The sequence below is a fragment of the Homo sapiens genome, chromosome 18 (assembly GCF_000001405.40).
Source record: "Homo sapiens chromosome 18, GRCh38.p14 Primary Assembly".
Classification (NCBI taxonomy): domain Eukaryota; kingdom Metazoa; phylum Chordata; class Mammalia; order Primates; family Hominidae; genus Homo; species Homo sapiens.
Genome location: NC_000018.10, coordinates 11697941 through 11724014, shown reverse-complemented (window position 1 = coordinate 11724014; position 26074 = coordinate 11697941). Strand labels below are relative to the sequence as shown.

The following is a 26074-nucleotide window of genomic DNA, read 5'->3' as shown; positions in this document are numbered from 1 at the left end:
TGACTATAATAGGCTCTCAGCTGTTTTCCACTCTCTCCTAGAGGGTACGACCCCCTTTCAAAGACCAGTTCCTTCTCATCCCAAGCCAAGCCTGCCTTTCATGCTCAGAAGAGAAGGGAATTCTTTTTGTGTACAAAAGGGTCTGTGCAGAGTGGGGGAGAGGTGCCACACTCCCATTAGGTCCACTCCTGTACTGTGCCACCCACTAGGAGGGACAGGCTGTGTCAGGAAAGAGGGGAGTGACTCCCAGGGCCCGAGGACAGAAGAAAGGGGAGTGGGACCTCCAAGGACACTCAGATATCACGGGAGGGGGCTGGGCTTCCTGCAGGGCCCCACCTCCCTTTCTGGGGTATTAATGCAAAGGGCTGGAGCACTTCAGGGTGCCTGGATGACACCACCTTTGTGTGTGAAGGACCTGCTGAGGTTCCTGTATGTATTTGATAAGTATCTGAATAGCACTATGTGCCTCTTTCATAGTAATAAATGGGGGTAGTTATCGTTCTTGATAAAATGACCTTTTAGAATGAATATCTTGTTCATATGCTTGGGGTTGTCTATAGAGTCTAGACCAGGGATTAGCAAACCAAGGCCTGTGGGCTAAATCTGTCTTGCTGCCTGTTTTTGTATGAGCTAAGAATGATTTTTACATTTTTTAAATGGTTGCAAAATAACAAAAAGAGGATGATTTCATGACATGTGAGAACTATACGAAATTCAAATGTGTTTGTAAAGTTTTATTGGAACACAGCCACACTCCTCCATTTATGTATTGTGGCCTTGGCCTGTTTTCATGTTGTACAGACTACAACGTTTTATTTTTTTATTTTTTTCAAGACAGAGTCTCACTCTGTCACCCAGGCTGGAGTGCAGTGGCACGATCTTGGCTCACTGCAACCTCTGCCTCCTAGGTTCAAGTGATTCTCCTGCCTTAGCCTCTGGAGTAGCTGGGATTACAGGCATGTGCCACCACGCCAGGCTAATTTTTTTTTTTTTTTTTTTTTTTGAGATGAAGTTTCGCTCTTGTTGCCCAGGCTGGAGTGCAATAGCGCGATCTTGGCTCACTGCAACCTCCGCCTCCCAGGTTCAAGTGATTCTCCTGCCTCAGCCTCTCGAGTAGCTGGGATTATAGGCATGCGCCACCACGCCCAGCTAATTTTGTATTTTTAATAGAGACAGGGTTTCTCCATGTTGGTCAGGCTGGTCTCAAACTCCTGACCTCAGGTGATCCACCTGCCTCGGCCTCCCAAAGTGCTGGGATTACAGGCCTGAGCCACCATGCCCTGCCCAATTTTTGTATTTTCAGTTAGAGATGGGGTTTCATCATGTTGGGTAGGCTGGTCTCGAACTCACTCCTGACATCAGGTGATCTGCCCACCTTGGCCTCCCAAATTGCTGGGATTACAGGTGTCAGCCACCGCACCCAGCCAACATTTTATTTATTATCAGTAAATGCCTACTTTGTCAAAGCAAGAAACAACAAGTGGACTTAGAGCCTCCCATCTTTATGGTACAGTGAAGGGTGCTTTATTTGCTAACAAATTACATGGCAAAGCACTGTTGTACTATGCAATGATGCTATATCTATGCTAGAAGAATATATAATACATATCACTGTTAGCAGACCTACCACTCACAATATCCCCAACTCACAGAAAAGCAATGGTCAGAAAAATCAGAAAACTTAAAATGGAATGCCTCATCACAGCAGAATTTTCTTTACCCCAGTTAAGTTTCTGAGTGGCTCATTTGTTAGCCAAGCAGGAAAAATCATTTGCTGGTGGTAAGTTAATTAAATCATGTTTGATTGCAACTGCTGAAGAAATGTGTCCAGAGAAAATAAACTGTTAGTCTTTTGGTAAGAACAGTTGTTTGGAGAGTTGAGAATGTTGGGAACAACATTATTTGTCAATTCAAAACCAAGGTGAATGATTCTGAGTGGCTTTCCTTGGCTAGTGATGTTAACACCGATGATGCTCAGTTGTTACTGTTTATTCAAGGAGTCAATGCTGAGTTCAAAGGAACTGAAAATTTAGCCTCTGTGAACTGTCTTAGTGAATCAGCTATGGTGAGACTATTTTATTATTTATTTATTTATTTATTTATTTATTTATTTATTTATTTATTTTTTGAGACAGAGTTTCACTCTTGTCTCCCAGGCTGGAGTGCAATGGCATGATCTTGGCTCGCCACAACCTGCACCTCCAGGGTTCAAGGCCAAGGTGGGCAGATCACCTGATGTCGGGAGTTTGAGACCAGCCTAGCCAACATGGTGAAAACCTGACTCTAACTAGCCAGGCATGTTAGACTCTAATTAGCCAGGCATGATGGCTGGCTACCAGAGACAGATTCTCCTGTCTCAGCCTCCAGAGTAGCTGGGATTACAAGTACCTGCCACCATGCCTGGCTAACTTTTGTATTTTTAATAGAGACGGGGTTTCACCATGTTGGCGAGTCTGGTCTGGAACTGCTGACCTCAGGTGATCTGCCCACCTCGACCTCCCAAAGTGCTAGGATTACAGGCGTTTGAGTCACCGTGTCCAGCCGGTGAGACTATTTTCAAAGGCATTAAGGAAACATTAATTCAGTGAACTTGAATAAGTGGAATCCACTAAGATGAGTGACCACTGATGGTGGTAAAAATATCTGTGGAGCAGAAAAAGGTTTAGTTGGACAAATTTACAAAGCTTGTTAAATGTAAGGTTTTAAAATCCCATTGTTATTTATCTTACTAATCGCTAGCAAGTGCTCTGCGGACAATGTTTGAATCTGTCATGAGTTTTTGAACCCTTAGCATCAGGAGTGAAATTTACTTCTGTGAACATCGTCAGTTTCATTAATGTTTGTTAAAAACAGAAGCTGAGTATCCTGACTTAGCTTACAGCAGTACGGTGGCTTAGCAGTGGTAAAGTTTTATTGTGAATTTTTGAACTTAGAGCTGAGATGAACACTTTTCTGGAAGAGAAGAACCTTTGACAATCTCCATTATTGAACACTGAATTGCTTTGAAAATTGGCTTTTGCTGAAGACCTGTTTCTTAAGTAATTCAACCTAAAATTATAAGGTAAAATTGCATCTGTATGCAAATCTTATATTGCAATAAAGTTATTTAGGGACATTAATGTTGCTTGAATCATAAACAATGTCAAGGTGCTTTGCATACTTCCTGTGCTGTCAAAAGGTAAAACAGGAAGTGAGCTCTCCATTTCCACACAAATTTGCAGCAGAAATATTTTCCAAGCTCAAATGACAATTCCAGGAGCCTTTTCACAACTTGACAAAAGTACGAAGGAAATTTCCAAATTTCGACATCCATTTAACTGTGCAATTGAGAAGCTTCCACTTCAACTTCAATTGGAAGTGGTTAGTTTGCAATGTTATGCAATGCCAGAAGGCAGATATCAAGAGAAGAATCAAACACAATTTATAGATGTCTTCCAAATGATGAATATGCTCAATTAAAAATCACAAGCTTGTGGACTGACATCCATATTTGGCAGTATCTGTCTGAGTGAAAAGACATTTGCAAAGATGAAACACATAACGTCGCACTACAAGTCAGCATTGACAGATGACATCTGCTATTGATTTTGATAATGGGAGCACTTACTTTGAACATTAATTTAGTGAAATGTTATCCCTCCCCCAAAACAGTTGCATTCTTTTTATTAGTAGACCTATCTTACAAAAAATTGTACACAATTATTTTTGTTTTATGTTTTAGATTTCATTAATAAAAATTTGGTGGAAATTTGTTTTCTCTCCTCTTATGTAAGTATCTACATAATAATCCTTGATTTTACCATTTAGTCTATAAAACCTAAACTATTCATCCTACAGAAACAGTCTGCTAACTCTTGGTCTAGACTCACCTTGCTATTCAAAATACAGTTCACAGTCTAGCCTGATAAGCATCATGTGGTGCTTGCTAGGAAAACAGAATTGTGGGCCCCACCTGAGACCTACTAAATCAGAATCTGCATTTTATCAAAATCCCTGGGGATTCAAATGTTCATTAAAGGTTGAGGAGCCCTGCTGTGGAACATAAGCCAAAACAGCAAGTAGGTATGCTGTGTGGTCCACCAACCTCCCAGGGACATCTGTCTCTTGCACTCTATTGCTGGCACACACACATGCTGCTATAAATGTCTTGATGTTGCCACTGCAGCATGGTGCGAGCGCAGCTCTGCACCGTCCACGGCCGCTGCAGCATGGTGTGAGCGCAGCTCTGCACTGTCCATGGCTGCTGCAGCATGGTGTGAGTGCAGCTCTGCACTGTCCATGACAGCCTGCTTCCGTTCTTCCAGGGTGAGGCATCAGCCACTCAAATGCTTCAAGGAATAGTAGGTGTGCTGGATTTGTCTCCAAAAGCTACAACCCAACTACACATCCAGGGCGCAAGCAATTTAGTATCAACAGATTGCATGACTTAGATAAGAGGAACCCAGATTTTCGTGGATTTCTTCTTCCACTTGTATTTAAGGCAGGCTCAGCTGTCAGCTGCCTGATGGTCTCAGTTTCCCTCTGTTTGAATAAAATGCCAGTGTCATCAAAGGAAGAAACCGAGGCCTTGGATTTTATCCACCTAAACTCAGGCTGAAATACAGCAATACTAGGTACCTTTTATAATAACATGACTCTCTGGTAACCCTGACTGTTTTGCAATACATCTTTGCTGCTGTCAGTCTTCCTGTCATTTGTAAAGAAGATAAATTAAAAAAAAAATCCACATCAAACACCTCCACTCCTTCAATCCTCAACCATCACGTGACTGGTGTCTTCATTTAAATTGTGAGGATACATTTTTTTTTAATGATAGAATTCAGACACAACAGTTTCAACTATTTATGTAGTTATAATGTTTTTAAATAGTTGTGATGTTTGGAGAATATATAGTACACATATGAGGTCCTCAATACATTTTAGCTCTATCCGTCCCCACCAAATGACAATCAGCCTTGACTCCTCACCTTCTCTCCTATTTACATCCAATTCATCAGCAAATTTTTTATTTTCTTTTTGTTAGTTTGTGTACCATTTAATTCATGGTACACAAAATTCATATTAAATTTGCTTTATAAAGTCAGGGCTTTAAAAATGGAAACAACTTGACAAAATATTCATCATGACATTTTGAGACCATTAAGACAAACTATAATGAAAAAAAGCCAGAAAAGAACACATTAACCATTCTTCACTACATATAGTTACTAGGAGGAATAAAACAAGTCACAGATCATCATCTTAGTACAGTGCAGTTCTCTCATTTAGAACTGGTTTATTAGGGCAATTGTTAATGCTGCTCAGAGAAACACTGAGAACAAATATCCACTGGAGGTAAAGTGATTGAAACCTTAGCTAGAAGATGCTTGTGATCTAATCATTATTTCAAAGTAGATAGAGCAGGGGAAAATCCATTTTCATGTACAGCTTTGATTTTTTGGCTATAAGAGATCAATCTGTGAATGATTTTATAAAGGATGTTGAGAGGTCTTTCATAAACATTATTCCATTTAAATAACTTATAGTCATATTTAGAAAAATAAACGGTGCATTATATTACCAAAACTTTGAAACAAAGACAGAATGTAAAATCCCTGACCCTATTGACTCTGCCGTATTGATTATATAGCACACTTGCATTATGGCTGATTGTCTCTGAATGACTTAAATCAAATGTCAATATCTAACCTTAAAGATAACGATAAATGCCGGTCATTTTTCAGATTCTTGAAAAATGAATGACAATTTGCACTAAAAATTTAAGAAAATGTAAGAATAAATGATTATGTCACATAAGATTCTTTTCATTTTTCTTCTTTATCCTTACTTTTCAAATTTTCCCCTGTGAACATGTATTACCTTGGTAATCTGATAAAGAATGCAACTTTTTTTTTAAACTGCTAGGTATTTTGTCTGGAACATTATTTATTTAATAATTGATTGTATTTCTTAGTAGTAAATTAGATTATCTTCTAACACTGTCATGTAATATGAAGATACAAGCAATCCATATGCCTATTTCTAGTAGACTTGTTTAGCATGTTTGCTTAAGACTGATTTCTTTTTTTTCTTAACATTTTAGGTTCAGAGGTACATGTGCAGGTTTATTATATAGGCAAACTTGTGTCTTGAGGTTTTATTGTACAGATTATTTCATTACCCAGGTATTAAGCCTAGTACCCATTAGTTGTTTTTCCTGATCCTCCTCCCAACCTCCACCCTCTGAAAGGTTCCAGTGTGTATTGTTCCCCTCTATGGGTCCATGTGTTCTCATCATTTATCTCCCACTTATAAGTGAGAACATGCAGTATTTGGTTTTCTGTTCCTACGTTAGTTTGCTAAGGATAATGGATTCCAGCTCCACCCATGTTCCTGCAAAGGACATGACCTCGTTCTTTTTTTTATGGCTGCATAATATTCCATGGTGTATATGTACCATATTTTTCTTATCCAGTCTACCACAACAGACATTTAGTTTGATTCCATGTCTTTGCTATTTTGAACAGTGCTGCAATGAACATTCGTGTGCATATGTCTTTATGGTAGTGAGAGGTGACAGCGTGCTGGCAGCCCTCACAGCCCTCACTCGCTCTCGGGGCCTCCTCTGCCTGGGCTCCCACTTTGGCGGCACTTGAGGAGCCCTTCAACCCGCCACTGCACTGTGGGAGCCCCCTTCTGGGCTGGCCAAGGCCAGAGCCGGCTCCCTCAGCTTGCGGGGAGGTGTGGAGGGAGAGGCGGGGAGGGAGAGGTGCCGGGGGAACAGGGCCAGTGTGACTTCCGGGTGGGCGTGGGCTCCGCGGACCCCGCACTGGGAGCGGCCGGCTGGCTCCACTGGCCCCACCGGCCCCAGACAGTGAGGGGCTTAGCACCTGGGCCAGCAGCTGCTGTGCTCAATTTCTCCCTGGGCCTTAGCTGCCTTCCCGCGTGGCAGGGCTGGGGACCTGCAGCCCGCCATGCGTGAGCCTCCCCCACCCTCCATGGGCTCCTGCAAAGCTGAGCCTCCCTGACCAGCGCCGCCCCCTGCTCCAGGCACCCAGTCCCATCGACCACCTAAGGGCTGAGGAGTGTGGGCACAACCGTGCGGGACTGGCAGGCAGCTCCACCTGCAGCCCCCGTGCGGGATCCACTGGGTGAAGCCAGCTGGGCTCCTGAGTCTGGTGGGGACGTGGAGAACTTTCATGTCTAGCTCAGGGATTGTAAATACACCAATCGGCACTCTGTATCTAGCTCAAAGTTTGTAAATACACCAATCAGCATCCTGTGTCTAGCTCAGGGTTTGTGAATGCACCAATCGACACTCTGTATCTAGCTACTCTGGTGGGTACTTGGAGAACCTTCGTGTGGACACTCTATATCTAGCTAATCTGGTGGGGAGGTGGAGAACCTTTGTGTCTAGCTCAGGGATTGTAAATGCACCAATCAGCACCCAGTCAAAACAGACCACTCAGCTCTACCAATCAGCAGGATGTGGGTGGGGCCAGATAAGAGAATAAAAGCAGGCTGCCAGAGCCAGCCGTGGCAACCTGCTCCCGTCCCCTTCCACACCATGGAAGCTGTGTTCCTTCACTCTTTGCAATAAATCTTGCTGCTGCTCACTCTTTGGGTCCACACTGCCTTTATTAGCTGTAACACTCACCGCGAAGGTCTGCAGCTTCACTCCTGAAGCCAGTGAGACCACGAACCCACCAGAAGGAAGAAACTCTGAACACATCCGAACGTCAGAAGGAACAAACTCTGGACATGCCGCCTTTAAGAACTGTAACACTCACCGCGAGGGTCCGCGGCTTCATTCTTGAAGTCAGTGAGACCAAGAACCCACCAATTCCGGACACAGTAGGATTATCAATATTCTTTTGGGTATATACCCAGTAATGAGATTGCTGCGTCGAATGGTAGTTCTGTTTTTAGGTCTTTGAGGAATCACCACACTGTTTTCTACAATGGTTAAACTAATTTACACTCCCACCAACAGTGTATAAGCGTTCCTTTTTCTCCACAACCTTACCAGCATCTGTTTTTTAATAGTAGTCTTTTTAATAATAGCCATTCTGATTGGTGTGAGATGGTATCTCATGGTAGTTTTGATTTGCACTTCTCTAATGATCAGTGATGTTGAGCTTTTTTTTTTTCATATGTTCATTAGCAAATTGTTAATTTGCCTTCAAAATCTATCTAGAACTTGACCACTTCTCATCAGTCCATTACTACCACCCTGCTCCCAGCTTCTACTGGCTGCTTGGATTATTATAAATAGCCAAAGTAAAACCCAAGGTCCTTTTACTGCCTTATATGTTCCTACTTGGTTGACCATGGGCCTGTGGCTTATTCCTTGAACACATCAGTTCATGCAAACCTCAGGGCATCTGCACCTGGCTCTCCATATCCCAATGCTCTTCTCCAGAGAATGACCTGGTCCCCTCTTTTGTTTCCTCCACACCCTGGCTAAAATGTCCACTTTCTCAACAAAGCCTTCCTGACCACTTTATTTAAACTTGCAACCCGCTTAGCAATCCCTGTGCTCATTTGTTTTCTTTTCTTTTTTTTTTTTTTTTTTGAGATGGAGTCTTGCTCTGTCACCCAGGCTGGAGTGCAGTGGCGCGATCTCGGCTCACTGCAAGCTCTGCCTCCCGGGTTCATGCCATTCTCCTGCCTCAGCCTCCCGAGTAGCTGGGACTACAGGTGCCCACCACCACGCCTGGCTAATTTTTTGTATTTTTTTAGTAGAGACAGGGTTTCACCGTGTTAGCCAGGATGGTCTCGATCTCCTGACCTTGTGATCCGCCCACCTCGGCCTCCCAAAGTGCTGGGATTACAGGCGTGAGCCACCGCGCCCGGCCTTGTTATCTTTTCTTTTCTTTCTTTTTTTTTTTGAGACAGGATCTCACTCTGTTGCTCAGGCCAGAGTGCAGTGGCACCATCATGGCTCACTGCAGCCTTGACCTGCTGGGCTCAAGCAATCCTCCCACCTCAGCCTCCTGAGTAGTTGGGACTACAGGTGTGCACCACCATGCCTGGTTATTTTTTTTGGTATTTTTCTGTAGACACAGGGTTTCACCATGTTGCCCAGGCTGGCCTTGAACTCTGAGTTCAAGTGATCCACCTGCTTTGGCCTCCCAAAGTGCTGGTGTGAACCGCCACACCCAGCATTAGCTATCCTTAATGTGAAAGGAAAATAAAATCTCGGGACCCTAAACTCACTATGCCAAAGGGAAAGTTACACTTGGGAACTGAATCATACAAAAACTGCCTTCCTTTTGTTCCTAAACAGATGGCTACAAAGACAGAAGATAGGTCACCTATCTCCCCAGGTGGCCTCCCTCACTAACTGCTCACAAGGAAATTCTTTGTGAGCCCTAAAACGGAGTTTTGTTTTGTTTCACCCTGACAATATAAATTAACAGTGTATCTTCACAGGTACAGGACAAAGACAAGACTAGAAATCATCCCTCTGAGAGAAATGTGTATTTGACCTCTTCCTCTACTCTACATTTACTTTATCTCATATAAAATGCAGATTTACTGAGCGTGAGACAAACGCATAATTAACATACCTCTACCCCTCCTTTCACATGTGGATTCAGCGAGCGCTCAGCAAAGCCTCACAAGACTGTGACCACTCACCTCAGCACCTACTGTCCCTTTTTTTCTTCCCTCCTTCCCCTCCTGTCTGCTCTTTCCTTTTTAAAGTTCTTAAAATCCTCTTTTGGAAAAAGCACAGTCCACAAATCCTACTGTGACTTGTGTCTTTTTTCCTTGGGCTGTCCTCAACCTTGGCAAAATGAAACTAAACCGACTGAGATCTGTCTCAAATACTTTTTGGTTCATGCGTTTCACTGATGGAATATGGCAGGGGTACCTAGTGGGCAGGCCCCAGGAAGAGAAGTATTTATAGGAAGGGTGGGAGAGACTACAATCCAAGCTTCCCTGACTTTTGTGATGCAGTTTAGTTGCTGGCATCGGAGATGCCCCTTGAGAATCCCACGACTCTGAAGCTGTTCCCTTTTTTCAAACCTGGGCCTTATCCCTGATAAAATGCAAATGTGTCAAGGACAGAGAAGGTGTTAGGCCTCGCCCTTTAGACCTCAGTGTGAACTTGGCAGTGACAGGAAAAGGGCAGGAGACCCCAATCACCAGACCATGCTTTGTGCATGGGTCTCACCTTGCAGATTTTCATAACAATTTTTCTGGACGACATTCCCATCTTCATTTTATGCTCCAGGAAAGGGAGCTCGGAGGTGCTCAGTGACCGGCCAGAGGTAGCAGAGCCAGAAATCAAGTCAGGTCCTGGCTCTACAGCCTGTTCTTTCCTTGTATAGCAGAGGTTTTCTGCTTATTTTTAAATGATTGTTTTCGCTCTAGATATGTGTTGAGGGACTGAATATATAAACAGGCAATGGCCAGGCTATATATAAAAATATATATAGTCTGACCCACAACCTGCAGCAACTGGCCTAGGATGGCAACCTATTATTGACAGTATCCAGTACAACAGCAACCACTCCAGGAAGCCAAACAATAACCTTTGTAACAGTTGGCTCCAAATGGCCACAACTTGACTAATAATTATCAACTTGCTTAATTTTTGCTCCTACTTAGGACCAACTGGAGAAACCCAAAGATGCTCTGCTAACCAATTGCATGGGATGTCCCCTTTGCACTTAGCCAGCCTACAGCTTCCCCACGCCAACAGCCTCCAATCAGGGAATATCTGAAGCCTTTCCTTTTTCCACTAAAAAGCTTTCCCACTCATCTGCCTGTCTTTGAGTCTGCCGAACACAAGTGATGGTCACTGACTCTTTTGCTATAGCAAGTTCTAAATAAATAGCCTCTGCTTGTTCTCATTTGGGTGGCCTTCATTTGTTTTCTCCCTGTGCTCACAGAAGTCACTTCGTGTTGTACACACATGTCTTGTGGACACAGTTTTCATTGATAAAATTGTTCTTAGCATGAAGGAATTAAACATATCAGCATTTCACAGTGTTCTGCAAACAGCGCAGTTGCCCCATATGGTGTTCATGGGCTGGGGACATCAGAGACTGGTCATTCCCAGTTGACTTGGGAGGGGGTCCTTCTCTCTCCTTCTTTTTCTCACCTCTCTCATCCCTTGCCCACGAGGGAGTTTCAGGTAGGATGAAGGAAACATAGGCTAGTGAATGACACAGGGAATGTAGTCTGTGAAAGGCAGCTACTACGAGCAAGGAAAAAATCTGTTCACCTTGTAGATATGTTTTTCTGAGAGACCTGACCAGGTCTAATCACGTCCTCTGCTCCTGTAGAGGGAGAACTGAATAACTAAGAATCCGTGCTTGCTAGGGAGGATTAAGGAGTAAATGGGACAGGGAGAGAAATCAGAGATTTTCAACTGGACTGGTAACTCTATAGAAAAAAATTATAAATGTTCACACACCATCCTTTGGTCTCTATTTGAGTTTAAATTATGTAATAATACAATTTTATTTTTGAGAGTGATGTCAGCAAGATGGCAAAATAGAAAGTCCCAGCCCCGCTGAAAAATTTATTGCCCTGCTGAAAAATTGATGTAACAAAATATATGGGCCAAAACACCTTTATGAGAGCTCTAGAATCCAGTTAAGAAGTCACAGTACTCCAGATAAGTAAAAAGCCAAAGCAGTTGCATTAAAAGAGGTAAAAAGGGCAATTCAATTTTATGCACGTCGGGCCTGCCCCCAAGCTGGCACAGCACAGTGCCCAGAAAGACCACCCTGGCCTCACTCTCCCCGAGAGAGTGGAATTAATATCCAACTCTGAATTTTTTATGTGTTGCCCAAGGGACCAATTTATATCTTGCTTCACCCAGCGTGCTGAGGGACAAAGAATAGTTTAAATGCCTGAGGAAAGCTAAGAACAAAGAAAAGGGGCAGTTGGTTTGCTGTGGCCAGCACAGCTCTGGCTGATTGGGAAAAGGTGCAAAACTCATGACTTCTCCCCACGGAGGGAGGGAGAAGAGTGGGGCACCCTGGCCTATGGTATAGTAGTGAGACACCAGAAGGAGCAAGAGATTATGGGCTCCTGAAAAAAGAAACCAGTAAATCCCTATAATTAAAATGCACAAGTCCAGGGAAGACACATCCACAGAAAAAGTTTGAGAGCTTCCCAGAATCTATAGCTAGGCTGATTGGTGAAGATCTTTCCCTGCTAAAGCCATAAGGACTGGGAGAGGTGGCTGTTTCTTCAAATGGACAGATACCAACATAAAGCTATAAGGAACATGAAGAAAGAGGGAAATGGGACACAACTAAATGAACAAAACAAATCACCAGTAACCTACCCTAAAGAAATGGAGATCTATAGACAGAGATCAGACAAAGAATTAAAAATAATCATCTTATGAAGCTCAGAGAGTTACCAGAGAACACAGGCAACTGAGGGAAATCAGAAAACTATGTATGCATAAAATTAGAATATCAACAAAGAAATAGAAACTATAAAACAGAGAACAAAACACAAATTGTAAAGCTGAAGAATATTAACTGAACTGAAAATAATCACTACAGGGCTCAAGAGCAGACCTGAGTTAGTAGAGGAAAGAATCAACAAACTCAAAGACAGGTCATTTGAAATTATCTAGTCAGAAGAGTAAAAAGGAAAAAAAAAAGAATGAAAAATTGAAGATAGCCTAAGGAAGTTATAGGACACCATTAAGCTAATCAATGTATACATTTTGAGAATCCTAGAAGGTGAAGAAAGAAACTGAGGAAGAAAGCTTATTAAAAGAAATAATGGTCAAAACATCCCAAATCTGGAGAGGGAAATGGATATCCGGATTCATGAAGCTCAATGAATCACGAACAGGATAAAGCCAAAGTAGTTCAAACTGAGGACCAGGCATGGTGGCTCACGCCTGTAATCCCAGCACTTTGGGAGGCTGAGGTGGGTGGATCACGAGGTCAGGAGATCGAGACCATCCTGGCTAACACGGTGAAACCTCGTCTCTACTAAAAATACAAAAAATTAGCCGGGCGCGGTGGCAGGCGCCTGTAGACACAGCTACTCGGGAGGCTGAGGCAGGAGAATGGTGTGAACCCGGGAGGTGGGGCTTGCAGTGAGCCGAGATCACACCACTGCACTCCAGCCTGGATAACAGAGCGAGACTCCATCTCAAACAAAACAAAACAAAACAAAACAGTTCATACTGAGACATTGTAATCAAATTGTCAAAAGTCAAAGACAATTTTTTGAGCAGCAAGAGAAAAGGAACTTGTCACATAAAAGGAAGCCCTCATAAGACTATTGGCAGATTTCTTAGCAAAAATCTTTCAGGTCAGAAAGGAGTGGGATGATATATTCAACGTTCTAAAAGAAAAAAGTGCCAACCAAAGAACACTATACCTGGCAAAACTATCCTCCAAAAAAAAAAAGGAGAGAGAAAAAATTTCCCAAACAAAAGTTGAGGGTATTCATCACCACCATATATGACATACAAGAAATGCTAAGGAGAGTTTTTCAAGTTGAAATGAAAGCATACTAAACAGCAACAAGAAAGCATATGAAAGTATAAAGTTCATTCGTAAAGGTAAATATGTAGACAAACATAGAATACTGTAATGTTGATATGTAAATAATTTTAATTCTAACTTAAAAGTTAAAAGACAAAGTATTAACACTAACTATATAAAAATGTGTTAATGGATACACAACATAAAAAGATGTAAACTGCGTCATCAATAACATAAAGGGAACACTTCCAAACTCATTTTATGAAGCCAGTGTATGCCGATACCAAAGTCAGATGAAGGCACTACAAGAAAAGAAACTATAGGCTAATATTCCTGAGGTCCACAGAAGCAAAAATCCTTAATAAAGTATTAGGAAACTGAACTCAACAGCACTATGACCAAGTGGGATTTATCCCTGAAACGCAAGGATGATTCAACACGTGTAAATCAATTAATGTGATATACCACATTAACAGTGTGAAGGACAAAAATAACATAGTGATCTCAATAGATACAAAAAAAGCATTTAACAAAATTCAACACCATTTCATGATTAAACACTCTCAATAAACTAGGTATAGAAGAAATTTAACTGACTATAATTAAAGCTGTATGTGAAAAGCCCACAGCTAATATTATACTTAATGGTGAAAAAGCAAAAGCTTTTTCCTCTAGGATTAGGAAGAAGGCAAAGATGCCCACTCTCATCACTTCTATTCAGCACACCACAGGAAGTCCCAGCCAAAGCATATAGGCAAGAAAAAGAAATAAAAAGCATCAAAATTCAAAAGGAAGAAGTAAAATTATCTGCTTGCAGATGGCATGATCTTATACATACAAAAATATAAAAATTTCACCAAAAAACTATTAGAACTAATAAATGAATTCAGCAAAGTTGCAGGATACAAAATTGATGTATAAAATCAGTTGCAGTTTTACATACAAACAATGAACTATCTGAAAATGAAATTAAAAAACAATCTCATTTACAACAACATCAAAAATAACAAAACACTTAGGAATTAACCAAGGAGGAGAAAGACCTTTATACTGAAAACTACAAAACAGTGATATAAGAAATGAAAGAAGATACAAATAAATGGAAAAAAATCCCATGTTCACAAATTGGAAGATTTATATTGTTAAAATGTCTGTACTACCCAAAGCTACCTACTGAGTCAATGCAATCCCCAGGGAAATCCTAATGACTTTTTTTTTTTTTTTTTTACAAAAATAGAGAAAACAGTCCTAAAACTCAGAAGGAACCACAAAGGACCCCAAGTAGACAAAGTAATCTTGAGAAAGAAGAACAAAGCTAGAAGCATCACATTTCCTAATTTCAAAACATACTACACAGTTACAGTAATTAAAACAGTATGGTACTGGCATATAGATACATAAACCAATGGAAGAGAATAGAGAGTCCAGAAATAAATCCACAAATATAGTCAATTGATCTTTGACAAGAGTGCCAAGAATATAAAATGGGGAAAGGATAGTTTCTGCAACAAATGGTGTTGGGAAAATTGTATATGCAGATGCAAAAGAATGAAATTGGAACTTTATCTTACACTACACACAAAAAGTAAATCGAAATGGATTAAAGACGTAATTGTAAGACCTGAAACTGTAAAACTACTGAACGAAAATATAGGAAAAAAGTTTCCTGACATTAATTGGTCTTGGCAATGATTTCTTGGATATGACACCAACAGCACAGGCAACAATGACAAAATTGGCAAGTGAGATGACATCAAACTGAGGGGCTTCTGCACAGCAAAGGAAACAATCAACAGAATGAAGAGGCAACCTACTGAAAGGGAGAAAATATGTGTAAACCACATAAAGGTGTACCTTGTTTTATTGTGTTTCACCTTACTGTGTTTTGCAGATATTGCATTTATACAAATTTACAAATTTTTAATAAATTTCAGGTCTGTGGTAACCTTGTGTTGAGCAAGTCTATTGGCACCATTTTTCCAACAGCATGTGCTCACTTTGTGTCTCTGTATTACGTTTTGGTAATCTTTGCAATATTCCAAATATTTGCATTATTATTATATCTGTTAAAATGACCTGTGATAAGGGATCTTGGATGTTACTATTGTAGTTGTTTTGAGGTGTCACGTATAGCACCCATATAAGATGGCAAACTCAATCGATAAATGGTGTGTGTGTTCTGACTGCTGTACTGACCAGCCATTCCCCCATCTCTCTCCCTTTCCTGGGCCCTCCCTATGCCCTGAGACATAACAGTATTGAAATTAGGGCCATTTAATAATCCTACAATAGCCTCTAAGTGTTCAAATGAAGACTGTCTCACTTTAAATCCAAAGCTAGAAATGATTAAGCTTACTGAGGAAGGCATGTCAAAAGCCAAGACAGGCCAAAAGTTGGGTCTCTTGTGCCAAACAGCCAAGTTGTGAATGCCAAGAGAGACTTCTTGAAGGAAATTAAAAGTGCTACTCCAGTGAACACACTAACGAGAAAGTGAAATAGCCACATTGCTGAAATGAAAAAAGTTTGAGTGGTCTGGATAGAAGATTAAAACAGCCACAGCATTCCCCGAAGCCAAAGCCTAAGTTGGAACAAGGCCCTAACTTTTCAATTCTAGGAAGGTTGAGAGAGGCGAGGAAGCTGCAGAAGAAAAGCTGGAAGCTAGCAGAGGTTGATTCATGAGGTCTAAGGAAAACAGTTGTCTCCATAACATACAAGTACAAGGTAAGGCAGCAAATGCTAATATAGAAAGTTAACCAGAAGATCTAGCTAAGATCACTGATGAGAAGTGGCTACACTAAACAACAGCCTTCAATGGAGGTGGAACAGCCTTCTGTGGGAAGAAAATGCCACCTAGGACTTTCATAAGTAAAGAGGAAAAGTCAATCCCTGGCTCCACAGCTTCAAAGGACAGGCTGACTTCTTGTTAGGTGCTAATGCAACTGGTAACTTTAAGTTGAAATCAATGCTCATTTACCATTCTGAAAATCCTAGGGCCCTCCAGAATTAGGCTAAATTTGCTTTGCTTGTGCTCTATCAGTGGAAAAACAGAGCCTGGATGACAGTACATCTGTTTACATCATGGTTTACTGAATATTTTAAGCCATCTGTTGGGACGTATTGCTCGGAAAAAAAGATTGCTTTCAAATTATTACTGCTCATTTACTGTGCACCCGGTAACCCAAGAGCTCTGATGGAGATGTACAAGGAGATTAATATTGTTTTCATGCCTGTTAACATAACATCCATTCTTCAGCCCATGGATCAAGCAGTAATTTTTACTTTGCAGTCTTATTATTTCAGAAATATGTTTCATAGCGCTATAAGTGCCATAGACAGCGATTGCTCTAATGGACCTAAGCAAAGTAAATTAGAAGCCTTCTGGATTAGCCAAGCATGGTGGCACATGCCTGTAGTCTCAGTTACTTGGGAGGCTGAGGCAGGATAATCACTTGAGCCTGGGAGGTTGAGGCTGCAGTGAGTCATGATCATGCCACCACACTCCAGCCTGGGTGACAGAGTGAGACCCTGTCTCAAAACAACAATGTCAACAAACCTGGCAACAATTCACAATTCTAGATGCCATTATGAGCACCCATGATTCATTGGAGGAGGTCAAAATAGCAACATGAACAGGAATTTGGAAGAAGTTGATTGCAACCCTCATGGATTGCTTTGAGGGATTCAAGACTTTAGTAAAGGAAGTAACTGGAGATGTGGTAGAAATAGCAAGAGAACTAGAATTAAAAGTGGAGCCCGAAGATGTGACTAAATGGCTGCAATCTCAGGATACAATGTTAATGGGTGAGGAGTTGCTTCTTATGAATGAGCAAAGAAAGAGGTTTCTTTAGATGCAATGTTCTCCTGGTGAAGATGCTGTGAACATTGTTGAAACTATTACAAAGGATTTAGAATATTCCATAAATGTAGCTGATAAAGCAGCATGTTTGAGAGGACTGACCCCAATTTTGAAAGTTCTACGATGAGTAGAATGCTATCAAAAGCATCACATGCTGCAGATAAATCTTTCATGAAAGAAAGAGTTAACCGATGTGATCAACTTCATTGCTGTCTTACTCTAAGAAACTGTCTTCAGCAACAACCGCCCTGATCAGTCAGCAGCCACAGATATCGAGGCAAGACCTTCCACCAGCAAAGAGATCCGGACTCACTGAAGGCTCAGATGATCGTTAGCACTTTTTATCAATATTTTTAAATTAAGGTGTGCTTTTTTTTAAGACATGATGTGATTGCACATTTAATAGATATAGTATAGTATAAACACAACTTTTATATGCACCGAGAAAAAAATTCATGTGACTTTCTTTCTATATTAACTTTATTGGGGTGGTTTGGAACTGAACCTGCAATATCTCTGAGATATGCTTATATCTGATAAGGGGTTAATCTCTGAAATATATAAAGAGCTCCTACAACTCAACAGCAAAAAAACAAAACAAAACAAAAAATAGCAAATATCCGGATTAAAAAATGGGCTAATGACATGTCTTCTTAAAGAAGACATACACTGTAATCCCAGCACTTTGAAAGGCCGAGGTGGGCAGATCACTTGAAGTCAGGAGTTCAAGACCAGCCTGGCCAACATAGTGAAACCCTGCTTCTACTAAAATACAAAATTTTCCCAGGCATGCTGGCAGGAGCCTGTAATCCCAGCCACTCAGGAGGCTAAGGCAGGGGAATCGCCTGGACCTGGGAGGCGAAGGTTGCAGTGAGCCGAAATCGTGCCACTGCAATCCAGCCTGGGTGACAGAGCGAGGCTCTGTCTCAGAAAAAAAAAAAAAAAAAAAAAGACATAGAAATGTCCAGCAGGTATATGAAAAGCTCAATGTTATTAATCATGAGGAAAATGGCAAATCAAAACCATAATGACATATCACCTCACACCTGTTAGGATGGCCATTATCAAAAAGACAAAAGTTAGCAAGTGTCGGCAAAGATGCAGAGAAACTGAAACCCTTGTACGCTGCTGGTGGGAATTAAAATGGTACAGCTGCTATGGAAAACAGTAGGAAATTCCTTTAAAAAATCAAAATATAGAATTACCATAAAATCCAGCCATCCCACTTCTGGGTATATATTCAAAAGAACTGAAATCAGAATCTCCAGGAGATAGCTGCACTCTTACGTTTGCTGCAGCAATTTTTGCAATAGCCAAGATACTGAAGCAGCCTAAATGTCCACTGGAAGATGAATGAAGAAAGAAAATGTGGAACATACATACAATGGAATATTATTCAACCTTAAAAAAGAAAAGAAGGGAATGCAGCCAGATGCAACAACATGGATGAACCTGGAGGGAATGCTGAGTTAAGCCAGTCACAGAAGGAGAAATACTGCATGATTCCATTTATATGAGGACTTGTAATAGTCAAACTCACAGAAGCAAAGAGTAGCACGGTTGTTTCTAGGGTTTGGGGGAGAGGGAAGTGGAGAGTTGCTATTCAAGGAGTAAAACATTTCAGACATGCAAGATGATTAAGTTGTAGAGCTCTGCTGTACAACGTTGTCCCCATATAGAAGAGTACGGTATTGTACACTTAAAAACTTTTTAATAGGGTAGATCTCGTGTGAAGTGTTCTTACCATGATAAAATAAGGAAATCAACTCAAAGATGCAGGAGGAAACTTTCAGAGGTGATGGATATGCTCTCAGGTGTATACACATGTCAAAACTAACCAAACTGCACACTTTAAATATGTGCTGTTTTCTGTATGCATTTCAACTATATCTCAAAAAAAGCTGTTAAATTAAAAAAAAATTGATAATGGACTTAACTTTCACCTCCATTAATAATTTCACAGGAACGAGTAAAATGTTCTGGGTATGAGCAAGCTTTGATAAGGAGAAACTAAAAGAAAATACTGATATTAAGGAAGAAAGGAGACAAAAATGTAAGAGACGGAGTCCAAAGACCCCAGAGTAGGCTGCGTGGCTGGGTCTGGAAACTGGGGAGGGAGCCCAGAAGTGGGCCAGATAGCTGAGCTCCTCTCCCTCTGTACCTGTGGGTTAGCAGGAGTTGAGGCACATATTACAGATGGGGGTACTTATCATTACTGCTCACTGATCACCCTAGGCCCATTCCTCACTATTCCCACTTTCAGCCGGAAGACCCTGGGCCATTAGTTGTGCCTTGGACTGCTCAGGGCATAGTGAAGCCACAGCAAAGGGTTCAGTGGAAGGCCTGCTCTGGAGGCCAGGGTGACTGTGTGGCTGTTTCTGGCATTCCAATCTCTAATTCCAAATACACTGTGTGATCCAGGCTGTGTCCTAGGGTATAATCCATATGTGGGATCCACGATGTGTTCCGTGGTATGACCCACGGGTCTAGGGTGTGACCCACTGTGTGATCAGGGAGTGCAGAAGGCTGTGACTCACTGTGGGACCCATGATGTTCAGGCTCCACGGAAGAACACCAATGCTGCTTCCTTTGTATTGTGGGTTGAATAACAGGATTTTGAGATTACTCTAGAAATCCATCCTCTGTGTTCCTAAACGAACATTCTGTATACATAATTAAAATTAATTTATCCTATTTGAAGTTAGGATAACCTGTAGGAATTTAGGTGAAGGGAAAGGCTGAGGCTGAACACCACCAGCAGAACTAAGATGCTTTTCTTCTGAGGCCACAGACTAGGGTGCAGCCTGCCTCCATCTGTCCCCAGTCAGCAAGGGTTGACATGGCCACAGAGCTTCCTGCACTTCACTGTGTGTGTGTGTGTGTGTGTGTGTGTGTGTGTGTGTGTGCCCATCAACACTGGGCCTCCTATCCCCTGTTCCAAGCTCATTATTGTACCCAAGCCCAAGGGTGGAGAGCATTACTTCTGAGAAAATGTCATTAGAGCAAAAAACGGAAATGGATCTGAAAGTTAAGTATCGTCCTCCATGAGGCACAGCGAAGTCCACTGGATCAACCACAGCTCGGCATGCTTTTTAGTTCCACGCAGCGCTTATCAAATAGCTGATGTTCAGAAGGCTGTTACATTAAAAAGCAATTCTAAAACAAAGTACCAGTTAAAACAATTTCAGAGATAAAGAGTCACATAACTGTTTCTTAATTGGCACTACTTTATCCGTATTTTATTGGTTCTTTTCAGCACATTGAATTTCTTTGTACAATGAAAACCTATAACAAATAACACGTTTCTATATTTTCTTAAAAAAGAGGGACACTTCCTTATAGGTCACATATATCAATTAGAGCATATTCTAAATGGATTTTCAACTAAACAGACTTAAAGCAGATGCAGGAGTTTCGATAAAACTATGCACAACGTGCGGAGCGTTCTGTTTTTCATTTGCTCTGCGTGGCATCTGCTGCTTTCCAATGAGCCTCTCAAAACGAGGGGTTTCTCAAACTTGTCGATTTTAAGAACAGAAATATACTCTACAAATATGGTTTTTTTGTTTGTTTGTTTTGTTTTTGAGACGGAGTCTTGCTCTGTCGCCCAGGCTGGAGTGCAGTGGCGCAATCTCTGCTCACTGCAACCTCTGGCTCCCAGGTTCAAGTCATTCTCCTGCCTCAGCTTCCCGACTAGCTGGGATTACAGGCTCGTGCCACCATGCCCATCTAATTTTTGTAATTTTAGCAGAGATGGGGTTTTGCCATGCTGACCAGGCTGGTCTGGAACTCCTGACCTCATGTGATCTACCCGCCTCAGCCTCCCAAAGTGTTGGGATTGCAGGAGTGAGCCATCGCACCGGGCTATTTTTTTTTTTTTTTAAGTGGGAAGGTTCTTGGAAGCTGCTGCCCTCCTCCTCAGTCCTGCCTCCCTTCTCACTGGGGCAAGAGCTGCTCCCACTGTCTTCTGTACCTGCATGGATGTATTTTATGCTGTGCTGCAATGGCTGGTTGATACCTTTGTCTCCCGCACAGGGTCATAAGCTCCTGAGCACACAGAACAGCTCCTGAGACAGCTCCAGTTTGTAGACTGAAGCCTGACAGAACCTGGGACGTGGTAGACGTGCTACTGAATGTCAGTAATTGCTACTGAATAAACAAATAGTAGCCTGTAACACAGCACTGACGTCCTTCTCAATAGACAAGCTGCTCTACAAATCAAACAGCTGATTGATCTGTGGCTCAGTCTAACTCTCTGGGGTATGCTGGCTTGGGCCTTGTTCTGCGCTTCCTCACCAGGACAGCTGTGGGCTTGTGGTTCATTTACACCACCCTCTGAGGGTGACAGGGAAGAAGGAGGCCGGCTCTGGGATCAGCACTCGCCTCTTGCTCGGTCCTGATTCCTCCCTGGTGCCACTCTTGCGTTCTGAGTCTTGCTCTGCTAGCGAGCTTTGTATCTACAGATTCCTGTGTCTGGCCTAATTCCAGGGGCTGATATTTTCCCAGAAAAGAAAATACAGCTGGGGTCGAGGCAAATGTGTGCTCCATGATTCTGGGGCTGACCTGTGTTTCTCCTGTGGCCTCCTGGCTAGCAGACTCCAAATCACGCCCTCTAGATGCTCCCGAAGTACCTGTAAAACACAAATGCTGCTCTGCAGCCAAGTCAAAGGTTCCCTTTTGTGGCTTTTTATCCACCTTCCTTTCAGTGATTCTCTAATGAGTGGATTTCTTGGGTAAAAAAAGGATAAACGTTTCATTTTTTTTTTCTTTATGCCGATTTACAGACAATCTCCACCTTCCCATCATGGTGCAATCTACAAAATGCAGCTCCTAATATTGACTTGTGGAGCACTTTGATGGCTGGAGATAAAAGGAGCAGTCTCCTTCCCGTTTGATAACACTGCACACTGTTGCTCAAACTTTCTTCATCTTCTTGAAGCATCAGTTCTATTAGGTAAACACTCCAGGTTGCTGCTACATTCTGGGAGCTGTGGGTGCTTCTGGGTTCTTTCAGCAGCTCCTTGATGAACAGGAAACCAGCTGCCAGGTGCAAACTTGGAGCAGATTTCACAGCTGCTTCTGCTCATAGTTTGCACCCAGGATCAATAACAGCATTATGCTTTTTTTTTTTTTTTTTTTTGAGATTCTTGCTCTGTCACCCAGGCTGGAGTGGAACGACGCACTCTTGGCTCATTGCAACTTCCTGCCTCAGCCTCCCGAGTAGCTGGGATTATAGGTACCCGCCACAACGTCTGGCTAATTTTTGTATTTTTAGTAGAGATGGGGTTTCACCATGTTGGCCAGGCTGGTCTCGAACTCATGACCTCAAGCAATCCACCCGCCTCGGCCTCTCAAAGTGTTAGGATTACAGGTGTGAGCCACCGCGCCTGGCCAGCATTATGCATTTGTGTACAAACATTGACATTAAACAATCAAGTTCCTACCTCCCCTGTACCTCCCCACTCATAAAATATCCTAAGGAAGGGGGATGCCCATCATGTTACTGAGAGGTTCCACGTGAATCCCTGGAATCATGTTCTTGACCCACACTGTTGCCATTTATCTCCGAGCACGTGCAGGCTCGGACTGGTATTTTTCTCTTAGGTTCTTGTCCTTTCTCTTCAACAACACAGTGAACTTTTCCAGGGCTGAGGCTGTGCTCTCTGCCTTGTGGAATCTCCACATCACCCAGAGAAGCACCTGGCACAGAGCGGGCTCCTGAGAGATGCAAATGTTTGCAGTTGGTGAGTAATATAAGGGATTCAATGAATAAAATGGCCTTTTCCCTTGTGACTCAAAGAATGGGTATCATTGCGCCTTATTTTTCTGTTTATGTCAAAATATTGTCTTCTTATGCTTTTTCTGGGAGAAGTTCACTTATTCAGAAAGAAAATTCACTTTTCAACTACAGAAGAACACACCAAGTGAGCATTAATCCAAAGCACAGTGATGCAACCTACATCTTCTCCAAGGCTCTTCTGCTAGGATTAGAGAAAGCAGATGCCACAGTGTGTTTGCTGTCTTCCTCGATCCTCCATCAGTCGGCAGGTTGACCTGCCTCTCACTAAATAACATTTTCCCAGATCGGCAAATGAAATAACAGCAGGAAGGGTTGAAGAGAGCTGTCTAACCCTTGAAGATTTTGATGGGTGGCTTCCCTAACTCGTGCCTTCAGTGGCATTTGGTGTAACACCTAATAACAGCTGGGCAACAATCCTGTGATTCCTCCTGATGAGGCAGAGCTAGGGCAGCCTTACAGGATGGGACACATGGCCTGGCCAAGCCAAGCCAAACGGCCTGCAGGAGCAGTGTGTGTGTGCCCCTCCCGTCAGGTGCTAACACTTCAATGCATGTCTAGAGGGCTTTATTTGCTGAGAATAATTTAACCCCAGAACTGCAGTTGGAAAAGTCTTTAAATGATGCTTTTTTATTCATAAACCACAGCTTTCAATAATGGGCCGCTATCTTTCCTGCTGCGGTTAACTGACCTGGGCTTTTTAAGAGTAGGGCCATCAGCTTATGGCCCCTAAACGGGCTCATTAGAAGAACCCTCGACCCTTCTGCTATGGCCACTGTGGTGTCTGTCCTCTTCTTCTCCACCAGCTCCTCCTCTTGGGATCCTAATTCAAGGACAAAATCTTTCACTGACTTCTTTTCTTAGTAAGTGACTAAAACAAGAAGCCTATTATTTAGAGCAGTTTTAGGTTCACAGCAAAATTGAGAGGATGGTACAGAATACAGCTGCCATGTACTCCCTGCCCCGACAGGCACAGCCTCCCCACCAGCAACATCCCTCATAGAGTACGGCAATCCATGAAGCTACCCTGACGCATGACTGTCACCCAGAGTCCACAGCGCTGGAAGGGCTACACTAGGGTTCCCTCTTGGCGTTGTATATTCTGTGGGTTGGACAAGTATGTGGTGACATTGTCCACTCATATGGTATCATAGGGAGCGGTTTCCCTGCCCTAAAAGTCCTCTGTGCGCTGTCTGTCCATCCCTAGCGAGGGAATTCTGAAACAACAGGGAACAGTTTTCACTTGACCCCGAAACACACTTAAGAGTCACTGCTTTAGCTGATAGAAGGTAATTTTCTGTTTTTCAGTAAAAGGGTTGGTTTCAGCTTAAAGCCAACCCCCCCCCTCAAAAAAAAAACCCAACAACTAAGTATTAATAAATTTAGACCCAGCTGGGCACGGTGGCTCACGCCTGTAATCCCAGAACTTTAGGAGGCTGAGGCAGGTGGATCCCCAGAGGTCAGGACTTTGAGACCAGCCTGTCCAACATGGTAAAACCCTGTCTCTACTAAAAATACAAAAATAAAAAAAAAACCCCAAAAATTAGCCAGGTGTGGTGGTGGGTGCCTGTGGTCCTAGCTACTTGGGAGGCTGAGGCAAGAGAATCGCTTGAACCTAGGAGGTGGAAGTTGCAGTGAGCCAAGATGGTACTACTGCTCCAGCCTAGGCAACAGAGAGAGACTCTGTCTCTAAGTAAATAAATAAATAAATAAAATTAAAAATAAATAGATAAATGTAGACTCAAAGTAAATTATCCTGGGTGCTGTCAGGTGAGAAATAATCATCTAGGGCTCCTTATTCGGATTTATGCAGTGAGGTTTTGGAGATCTTCTGATTATCACTTTCAATATCATGAAGTGATTTTGGGCCCTTGGAGTTAGGTCTTACCTTTGAAAATGTTAATCTTTGGAAACTTTTCATAGACAAATTAAATTAGCTAGATACCCGAAAATTAGCTAGGTCTCTTGGTCTCAACTCAACTGAAAAACCTGCTTGCCATTAAAGAATTTCCCTCTAAATGACACATTAGTCTGACACTGTCAACAGGGAAAGTCACTTGTGCTGGAGGAGCTGAGGTTGAGTCCAGGCACCTGAATGTTTAGAAAGCGGATGCACAGCAAGGGTCAAACAAAGATTGACAATTCCTCTCCTGCCCTCTTCTCTTCATCCCCAGGAGCACCCACCATTCCAGTCTCATCCGTCATCACCCCAGCTGTTTCCTGGATGGCACAAGGTGCAGGAGTGGGCACACCTGTTCTGTCCTCCAGCAGCAAAGTCCTCCCAAGAGCAGCCACCGTCACTGCTTCAGTGTCTTCCTGTCCCTTCCAATCTGAAGCCTCCTGCACCCACCAGGCCATGAACCTGCACACCCAGTGGGTTCCTTCTCAGCCCTCTATTTTTTTTTTTTTTTTTTGAGACAGAGTCTTGTTCTGTCTCCCAGGATGGAGTGTAGTGGTGCAATCTTGGCTCACTGCAACCTCTGCCTCCTGGGTTCAAGCGATTCTCCTGCCTCAGCCTCCCAAGTAGCTGGGATCACAGGCGTGCACCACCACGCCCAGTTAATTTTTGCATTTTTAGTAGAGGCGAGGTTTTACCGTGTTGGCCAGGATGATCTTGATCTCTTGACCTCATGATCCACCCGCCTCGGCCTCCCAAAGTGCTGGAATTACAGGCATGAGCCACCGCGCCCAGCCTCAGCCCTCTTTATCCCTGAGCTCCCAAGTGACACTGCTGGCCACTGCCTTCCTCCAGAAACCTCTTCCTTTCTTGGCTGCTCCCAGCCCTCTGTCATTCTTCACGCTCTTCTTCCTCCAGCCCTTTTTGAAAGGCTGGAGTCCCACGGCCTCCTATCCTGGGCCCTCCTCCCTTCCTTTCTCACTCTGCACGTCCTCCCTAGGTGGCATGTCCTCTCCGGGTGGCATGTGGTCCCCAGGTGGCATGTCCAACCTGGCCAGTGCACTAAT

At 42.7% G+C, this 26074-nt stretch overlaps 1 protein-coding gene across 2 annotated transcripts in view, besides 1 other annotated feature; it reads right to left on the bottom strand.

Moving 5' to 3' along the window:
* Window positions 1-26074, bottom strand: part of GNAL (G protein subunit alpha L) — a 196422-nt gene that overhangs the window by 161671 nt on the left and 8677 nt on the right. The window lies entirely within an intron of this gene.
* Window positions 9396-9955: an enhancer, noted in NCBI's record as "OCT4-NANOG-H3K27ac hESC enhancer chr18:11714059-11714618 (GRCh37/hg19 assembly coordinates)". NCBI's record gives its function as "activates a minimal SCP1, AML or CMV promoter by ChIP-STARR-seq in naive H9 embryonic stem cells {active_cell/tissue: H9 hESC(naive)}" and the evidence as "EXISTENCE:reporter gene assay evidence [ECO:0000049][PMID:30033119]".